This window comes from Homo sapiens, chromosome 4 (assembly GCF_000001405.40).
Source record: "Homo sapiens chromosome 4, GRCh38.p14 Primary Assembly".
Classification (NCBI taxonomy): domain Eukaryota; kingdom Metazoa; phylum Chordata; class Mammalia; order Primates; family Hominidae; genus Homo; species Homo sapiens.
Genome location: NC_000004.12, coordinates 103,068,143 through 103,077,546, shown reverse-complemented (window position 1 = coordinate 103,077,546; position 9,404 = coordinate 103,068,143). Strand labels below are relative to the sequence as shown.

The 9,404-nt window shown below is 41.3% G+C and overlaps 1 protein-coding gene across 12 annotated transcripts in view, besides 2 other annotated features; it reads left to right on the top strand.

Annotated features, from left to right (window-relative positions):
• The first annotated feature begins 227 nt into the window (after window positions 1-227).
• SLC9B2 (solute carrier family 9 member B2) overlaps window positions 228-9,404 on the top strand; it is a 59,291-nt gene continuing 50,114 nt past the window's right edge. For 9 of the 12 annotated variants that reach the window (NM_001370205.1, NM_001370204.1, NM_001370206.1 and 6 more), the window contains exon 1: window positions 786-1,363. The gene's annotated coding sequence lies outside the window, so the exon portion shown is untranslated. Of the gene's footprint in view, window positions 400-785; window positions 1,364-9,404 lie in introns of those variants that run through there. The other 3 variants (NM_001370201.1, NM_001300754.2, NM_001370207.1) reach the window with 1 other exon arrangement.
• Window positions 787-906: an enhancer, noted in NCBI's record as "active region_21763". NCBI's record gives its function as "activates an Ori minimal core promoter by ATAC-STARR-seq in GM12878 lymphoblastoid cells {active_cell/tissue: GM12878}" and the evidence as "EXISTENCE:reporter gene assay evidence [ECO:0000049][PMID:35858748]".
• Window positions 1,017-1,126: a silencer, noted in NCBI's record as "silent region_15604". NCBI's record gives its function as "represses an Ori minimal core promoter by ATAC-STARR-seq in GM12878 lymphoblastoid cells {active_cell/tissue: GM12878}" and the evidence as "EXISTENCE:reporter gene assay evidence [ECO:0000049][PMID:35858748]".

Below are 9,404 nucleotides of genomic sequence, written 5' to 3'. Positions count from 1 at the left end.
AAACATTTTTATAAACACTATCAGCAATAAAAACGAAGTAAAATCTAGCCAAAAAATTCAATGTTCTCCAAAGTCATGTTAATCAAATCAGGTGATATATTAATGAAGTACATATGACTAAAAGGAAAAATATATGTCATTCCTGTGGTAAGAGGAAGCTGAATGTCACTAGAAATTTTTACAAGCTTTAGGAGAGGAAGAGTTCCGTTTAGGAAAATAATCATTTCAGATGATCTGAAGAAGGGTATTGGATGGAACCTATCCAATAGGTTCATCACAAAAGAGGACCTGAGAGACAAGAATGAATGGTTTCTGACTGGTGGAGAAATTTGAGGATAATCTCCCTTGCTTGAAAAGCGGTGATTAAGATTGGCACTTGCTTACAGGAGTGAAAAACAGGTAAGGGGTGCGCGCGTCTTAACACACACAAGAGGAAATACAGAGAAAAGGAAGACACAAACATGAAATGAGAATTAAATGAAATAGAATCACACTGCTGATAGAAGGGTTAAAAATCTAAAATACAACAAGAAGGGCAGGTGTTAAGCGATAAAGGGGGGCAGAACAAGTCTTTTATCCGGCCATTTAATTGGTCACCTTAAGAAAGAATCCTATCTTCCCACCGCAGCTGAGAAGACACTTCTAAGAGGTACAGCTAAAAGGTGGAGGACTGATAGACAACTTAGAGGTTGGTTTCGGGAACGATAAAACAAGTAACGGGCTGCCCGGCCTGCGCCGCGGAGTCCCGAGGAGCCTGCGCTGTGCTCCTCTCGCGGTGTCTCGTCATCTCCGGGAAGACTCGGCGCCTGGGTCCGCGCTCTCTGGGTAAGCTTTCCGGGAAGCTTTCCCGGGAGCTCGCTGGTCCTGGCCCCAGAAGCCTGCGGACCCGCCCAGGGAGGATAAGCAGCTGAAAGACCGCGCGGTGCCGCTCCGAGGCCCCGGGACGTGGGCCCATGGTCGGCCTGGCGCCACCTTTCCGGGGGAAGCCACGCGCACCAGGCATCGCACGCGGCTCTGCACCCGCGCCGCCGGACCTGAAACCCGGCGGAGGGCACACGGGGCTGCCGCTGCGGGCCCCGGACCAACCCATGCTTACTCCGGAGCCTGTACCGGCGCCGACGGGTCGGACCTCCCTGCGCGGTGTCGCCCAGCGGGTTCGTGCGAAAGGCGGGGCCGACTACACGCGGTGCCGCGCCCTGAGACCGTTTATCTGCAGTCAACGCAGCCTCCCGGCTCAGCCTGGGAAGATGCGCGAATCGGGAACCCCAGAGCGCGGTGGCTAGACCGGGCTCCGCCGCCTCCCCCACAGCCCCTTTCCTAATCGTTCAGACGGAGCCTGGTCGACTTCGCCGGAGACTGCCAGGTGAGAGGCCCCAGAGACACTAAGGGTAAAAATAAACCCAGCGCCAGCGGCGGGTACCCTGTAGGCCTGCTGGACCGGAGACGCGAGCGAGGGGCCCAGCCTTTTCTGTTTGTACACCCGGTGACGGGCGCGTGTCTGTTTACTGTTGTAAGGTGTTGGCGTGGGTTTTCTTGCTTGCTTTTATTTTAGTTCTCAGATTAACCAGAGGGGGTGTTGCCTTTGTGGACTGGGTTAGCATCCTCGAGGTGCTAAGAATCATCGTATGCTATTGACTGAAGAATATAACCTTAAGACAGCAGTAGCTGCTGTAAGAGATAAAGTAAAACATCTCAGTAACTAAACATAGTTCAGGCTTATTTCTCGTTCATGTCAAGTCCATTCACGTGTTCAGCTGTTGGCCTTCTACTCAATTATTCAGGAACCCAAACTCCTTTTATATTATGGCTTTGCTATCCCCTAAGACCTTGGAGTCCTTAGTTTCCAGGCAACGGACAGAAAAAGAAAAGCTACTAGAGGATTGCATGAGGATTGTTTCTTATGGGTGAGGACTGGAAATCACATACTATTTATGTCCACATGCCATTGACCAGACTTCAGTCACATGCCACACTGACCTGCAAGGGAGACTGGAAATGTACTATGGACCCAGGCAGAAGAGTAAACGATTTTGGTAAACACATATCAGTCTCTGACCATCCCTTAAAGGGCAGACTGCATCTTAGTCATCTTTGTTACTCTTGTGCCTATCACACCAGAGAAACTTGTTAAGGCTTTGTGAGGCCGAGGTGGGCATATCACCTGAGGTCAGGAGTTCGAGACCAGCCTAGCCAACATGGTAAAACCCCATCTCTACTAAAAATATAAAAATTAGCTGGGCATGGTGGTGCACGCCCGTAATTCCAGCTATTCCGGAGGCTGAGGCTGAAGAATCGCTTGAACCCAGGAGGCACAGGTTGCAGTGAGCCAAGATTGTGCCACTGCACTCCAGCCTAGGTGACAGAGCAAGACTCCATCTCAGAAAAGAAAAAAAAGGAAATGAAACTTGTTAAGGGATGGGGTTGTTATGTGTCTAAAGTTGAAACTTAACCATATTTCATTGTGATTGCTTAGGAATCATTTATCATCCTTTATCATCCTGTAACTAGATTACAAGATCTGAATATAGGAACTATTTAAGACCGTTCACTTCTGAATCCTCAGCTCAAGGACTGGGACGTAACAAGAGCTTAATAGCTCTTGTTTGTTGAATGAATGAATGAATCATCAGAGAGGAAAACGAGGGAGACAGTTTGTCAATGTTGGAGTTAGGAAATACTGAGAAGGTGACATTTGAGTTAGATTTTGAATTTCTTCAAGTAGAAAAAGCAGAAATGAAACTCCAGGCAGCAATAGTAGTGATATTTTATTGTTGTTGTTTTGTTTCATGAGTGGAAATTTGGAAAACAACCAAACGTTTATAAGTCCAACTTTTCTTCATTCAGTATTCAAATATTACAATTTAACTTCAGGGTAGAGGAGGGGAAATACATAATCTTACAATCCAAATAATTTCTGTTGACTAAAAGAATGGCAGTGAAAACCTTGGCACTAATTTTTAACTTTATAAAATGTTATTTTCTGGACATTTTTGAGAAATTTCAATACAAAGGCAGTGTTCTGATCATTCATTGTCTATGATGATTTTGCACTGTAACAAGAAGCTAGAAAGATAGAAACTAAAGTTTGTAAGACAGAGGTTCCTCATCACTGCTGTTCATCAGGGCTTCTCAGGGATGGTTCTGCAACAAAATCACCTGTTATATTGGTTAGGATGCTTTTGGCTGCAAGTAACAGGATATTCAGCCAAAACTCCCTTCAAAAATACAGATGTACTTTGCTCATACATGAAGATGTTTGAAGGTAGGTGGGTCCAGGGTTTGTTCAGTAGCTCAGTAATATCAGGGCTCTATGTTGCTTTCTGTGTTCAGCTAATCTTGACTTTTCTTCATGGGTGAATGATGGCTGCTAGAATTGTCCCAAGAAACCCATCCACAATCCCAACTTCCCTTGCCTCTTTACCTGGTCATTTAAAGACAAAAAGAGGAGAGGATTTTCCTCCTCTCTCTCTGTCTTTATTAAGAAGGAAAATCTTATGTAATATGCCCCAATAGTCTTGCCTACAAATTCCAATGGCAAGAAATGAATCATGCTCACTCCTTAGCCAATAAGTGGCAAAGAGGAATGGTGTTACAGAGATTGATTTACACCAATAATGACTTATCCCTAGGGCGGGAGAAGGGTCCTACTGGCATACCTGAACACTTGGCATTTAGACAGGCCATAAGTCATGTCTGTCCCACTTGGGGTAGATTCGGTCTCTGTAGATTCTGATTTTAGTGGGCCTAGAAATAATATTTTAAACTTTTAGTAAGTATATTTCACTTTGGTGAGGAGAGAGAATAGAAAGGATGAAAGCAAGTATTGGGTCCCTTATGTAGGGGTAATTTCCTTTTATTCTTATCTCATTATATAGTGTTTTCCTTCATGAGTCAATGAAATTACTAAATCAATTAACCAAATAAAATAGCGGTTGTTTTCCTTTGGTAACTTGGCCACATGTATTTGACACACCTAAGTCTTTCAGATAAGGTAGTTCTCATTCAGGGAAACACTGTTAGTCATTTTAGTAATTAATTGTCTAAGAAAGTGTTAAGCCCTACTCTGAGCCTGATCTGAATTCCTCATTGCTGGGTAGGGCTCCTTTTGGGAAATGACCATTAGATCAGTGTTGATAAGCAAATACAGAAACTGGAATGTTTCTGTATGTTCTATGTAGAAATACTGTATGAGACTGAGAACCTATACGTTCAACACATGAATGGATGAACACAAAGGCAGGAGATTGTTGTTATTATTATCATTATAGAGTATTGAACAATCATAGTGATGCTCTTTCAAAGGCATGAATACAACCCAGAGTACTCTAGCAATGTCTTAGTCCATTTTTGTTACTGTAACAAAATACCACAAACTAATTAATTTATAAATAATCAAATTTATTTCTCACAGTTCTGGAGGCTGGGAAGTCCTAGGTCAAGGTGCTAATTAGATTTGATGTCTGTTACACACTTGATCTCTGCTTGCAAGATGGTGCCTTCTTGCCATGTCTTCTTCACATGGAGGAAGAGACTAATGCTGTGTTCTCAGATGGTGGAAGGGAAAGAGCCAAAGGGACTAGGCTGCTCCCTTTGACCTCTTTTATAAGAGCACTAGTCCCATTCATGAGGGTTGAGTGCTGGTGACTTAATCACTTCCCCAAAGTACCTCCCTCTTAATACCATCACCTTGGCAGTTACATTCCAAAATCTGAATTTTGGAGGGACACAAACATTCAAGCCATAGCAAGCAATATATGTAAATTCTCCATAAGATTACTCCTTTAAATGTCAGCCTATCCAAATCACAGGCAGCAAATAGCAAGAATAAAAAGTCTTTATCCATATCTTTTAGCAGTAACTGAAATGATAGCAGTAAGTCTATTTTACTTGACCGAGAGCCTACGGACATTTGTAAGTTGATAGTTCCTTTATTTCTTCTGGAATATTACAGAAAGTACTTGTAAACATTTACATTAGTAAGATAATATGAAAAAGAGAACATTTAACAAATATCTCTCTATGTGAAAACATATTTACAGAAATGGTTTCCAAAGTATGCTCCACTTGCCAGAAGGAACAGGGGTGAGTAGACAGGGCTCCTGCAGCGCCACCTTAGTCGTTCCATTTGTAGGATTTAAGGATTAGGTTTCATTTGATGAAAGATATTTGACATAAAGATATGAAGACCAGGGCTGGGTGCGGTGGCTCACGCCTGTAATCCCAGCACTTTGGGAGGCCAAGGCGGGCAGATCATGAGGTCAGGAGTTTGAGACCAGCCTGGCCAACATGGTGAAACCCCATCTCTACTAAAAATAGAAAAAGTAGCTGGGCATGGTGGCCGGCACCTTTAATCCCAGCTACTCGGGAGGCTGAGGCAGGAGAATAGCTTGAAACCGGAAGGCAGAGGTTGCAGTGAGCTGAGATCTCGCCACTGCACTCCAGCCTGGGCAAAAGAGCGAAACTCCACCTCAAAAAAAAAAAAAAAAAAAACATGAAAGCCAAACTTGAAAATTTTGAAAACCACTGCTATTGGTGATTCTGGGCAGTTACTCATCTTCTTTGAAAAATCACAACTACAAAAAATGATTTTAAATTGTGGCAGGTGTTATTAAGTTACCTCAAATCAAATCACCAGACTGTATCTATGAGAAATATTACCAAGAAATGTGGTACCATTTTCTTTTCTCTAAAGCTTTAGGAATTGAGTAGATTATTTTTAAATGTATTTAAAATTAGGGCCAGGCAGGGTGGCTCACATCTCTAATCCCAGCACTTTAGGAGGCCAAGGCCAGTGGATCACTTGAGGTCAGGAGTTTGAGACCATTCTGGCCAACATAGTGAAACCCATCCCTATTAAAAATACAAAAATTAGCCGGGTGTGGTAGCTCACACCTGTAATCCCAGCACTTTGGGAGGCTGAGGCAGGTGGATCATGAGGTCAAGAGATCGAGACCATCCTGGCCAACATGGTGAAACCCCGTCTCTACTAAAAATACAAAAATTAGCAAGGGATGGTGGCATGTGCCTGTAGTCCCTCAGGAGGCTGAGGCAGGAGAATCACTTGAACCTGGGAGGTGGAGGTTGCAGTGAGCTGAGATCGTGCCATTGCAATCCCTCTTCAGCCTGGTGACAGAGTGAGACTCCTTCTAAAAAAAAAAAAAAAAAAAATACAAAAATTAGCCAGGCGTGGTGGTGCATGCCTCTAGTCCTAGCTACTTGGGAGGCCAAGGTAGGAGAATCACTTGAACCGAGGAGGCGGAGGTTGCAGTGAGCCAAGATCATGCCACTGCACTCCAGCCTGGGTGACAGAGCGAGAATCCATCTCAAAAAAACAACAACAACAACAACAAAATATATATATATATCAAATTACATAAGAAAATCCTACATAAGAAAATCTTTCTTAGAAAATAAGAAAGAAAGTCCAGCCACTCCTCTTCCATTTCCCTTCCCAAAGGCAACTGCTGTTAAAGGATTTTTTTTTTCTGTTTCCTTCTTAACAGGTACATATATCAAACTGCTTATATTCTTGATCTCTTAAGGACAATTCTTTCAAGTGGGGAGAAAAGGTTAAGAAAACTTTTTTCTTTTTTCTTTTTTTATACAGTCTTGCTCTGTCGCCCCCACTATAAATGACTCTTAGATTGCTGTCTTTTTCATCTCTTTCACTGTCATCAGTCACTAATGCTGCTCTCAATTTGCCTCTATCACAGCAATCTCTTCCTGAATTTTAATATTTAACACCTAATCTTCTGAGGGTTTGAAAAACAAAGGAGCAAAGTCATTAGAATTGTTTTCGAAATAAGGGCCGGGCATGGTGGCTCATGCCTGTAATCCCAGCATTTTGGGAGGCCTAGGCGGGTGGATCACTGAGGTCAGGAGTTGGAGACCAGCCTCGCTGACATGGCGAAAACCCATCTCTACTAAAAATACAAAAAATTAGCCAGGCGAGGTGGCGGGCACCTGTAATCCCAGCTACTCAGAAGGCCGAGGCAGGAGAGTCTCTTGAACCCAGGCGGCGGAGGTTGCAGTGAGCTAGGATCATGCCACTGCACTATAGCCTGGGCAACAGAGGGAGACTTCGTCTCAAAAATCAAACAAACAAACAAAACAAAATAAGGGTTAATGGGCTCTGCATGAGTCCTTAAGAGCCTCTCTATGAGTAAGGAGAATAAACTTTCTAATAAGCATTTCATGACATTTTTTATGGCCCTTCAAAGGTCATTTTTGTAATTTCAAGACCCAATGACTATAAATAATAAATACCATGAACATGGTCACTTTAAGTAAAGCTAACATTTTTGAAATTTTCCTAAATTTAAGTAGGTTCCTGAAGTGAGACATGCATTTTAAATGGTCTTTTAGAAATGGAAACACAGCAGAGAGCAAACAAATACAGCTGACTAGTTGTAAGATCTCTTACTGGGCTCATTAAAAGACATGTATTTCATTTTACCCTTTATTTCTGCAGTACCTTTCTGATCATGTATAAGTACTTTGGCATTTATGGTTGAGAGTATTGGAGAATAGGGAACTTTTCTGGAATGTAAAATTATATAAATTCCCACAGATGGCATAACATGCCAAGTTGTGATTGTTTATATTTAAAAGGACCCCATAATAACATTGATAAAATTTGTTCGCAAAGGCTTCATTTTAACCAATAGTTTTTGTCTACTAAAAATAATAATTTCTAATTCACGACTATTTAAAAATAGTTTTTGTAAGTGGCAGAATGGGCTGATTTTGAGAATTTGATGAAAGAGGTAATTCTAGTGGTACTGCCAAAGAATTTCTATGTAATTCTCCTAATGAGAAGGGTGAAGAAATGAATGTTACATCCACCTGATCAAGAAGTGGGCCTCAAAAACAGATGAAAAATCATGACCAAATAAAATCAATGGGATTAAGTAGTAAATTCTTCAAGGTTGAGGTGACTTTTTCTTGCTTAATAGGGAAAGCAAAATGATTCTTAAAGATTCTTCTTATGATAATCAGGAAGAAGGAATATGCATGGTTAGCAATAACCAACACTATTGAATGCCAACTGTGCATAGTTAGAACTATTCTTGTCTCCATTTCATAAATAAGAAACTAATCACAAAGAGGTTAAGCAATTTGGTATAGATGGACTTCAAATTCAGGCTTATCCAAATTCGAACCCAGCCCATCTTGTCAGTTACCATATTTGGGGTCATTCACTTCAGAAGGTAAAGGCCAAGTGCCGTGGTTTGAGATATGATATCCTAACTCTTTAACCTGATCTCGCATTACTCTCAGCCTCCTGCCACAAGCTCCAGCAGTTTCCCCTCACACACCACTGGCTTTCATGTCTCCATGCCTTTAAGACAAGTGTTCTCTGAGTCTAACATTTTCTCATCAAGTGACTTTTTTATTATCAGTCTAAATTTTGAAATAAGTTTTTTAATTTAAAAAATTATATATACAAACATACATACACATACATATATATCATTATATAAACATTTATTACAAATTATGTATAATAAAAAACAAACTAAAGGTTTTTTTGAGATGGGACTCTGGTTACCATGTGTTTTGTAAGTAGGAAAAATGGGGGTGGTTGTGGTAAAAAGATTATGATGTTTTTTGAAGTTTTAAATGCAAATTTCTTGGCACTTCGTTGAACAGAGAAAATGATTCCTTGAGGGAGGGGTCCTGTCTAATTCATCCTTGTCTTTATGTCTAGCATAGTGCCTGGAACCCATTAGGCACTTTGATATGTGTTGAATTAGATTTTCCCTTCTCTTACATAATTTTCTCTTTGATTCTACCACAAGTTTGTAGTGTGTACCTCTATCAAGATACTCATTCTACTTGTTGCATTAGGAGTAAGTTTCCTTACTAGTTAAAAAAGAAGAAAAAACTTGATTAATAGTGGTTTAAACAATTACCCCAATGCTTGGCAGTCCAAGGCTGATGGAGCAACTGGAAGATGTCATCAAGGAACCAGCTTCTCCTATCTTACTTATCTACTATCCTAAATAGAGGGCTTTTATTCTCATGCTTGAAAGATGTCTGTTGCCCTTCCAGGCACTGTATCTACATTCTAGGAAGGAGAAAGGGAAATGTTAGAGGACAAAAAGTACAAAGTATTATCTTCTAAAGGCCTCCCCCAAAACTCCCACCTAAATCTCATATGTAGAACTGTGACACATGGCCACCTCTACCTACAAAAGTGGCTAGGAACTGGAGTGCTGTATTTGCCTTGTAGCCTGTATAGCATGGAAAGCCAAGGGAGAATGTGTTGAAGTGAGTGTTTATTGAGCCAATCCGTAGTCTTACAGGTTTTCTTAGTTATTTGGTATAAATTTATTTTTCCTGGTATATGATAAGTCAATGGAAAACAAACAATATGTTTTGGTAATCTTTGAATTGCCCAC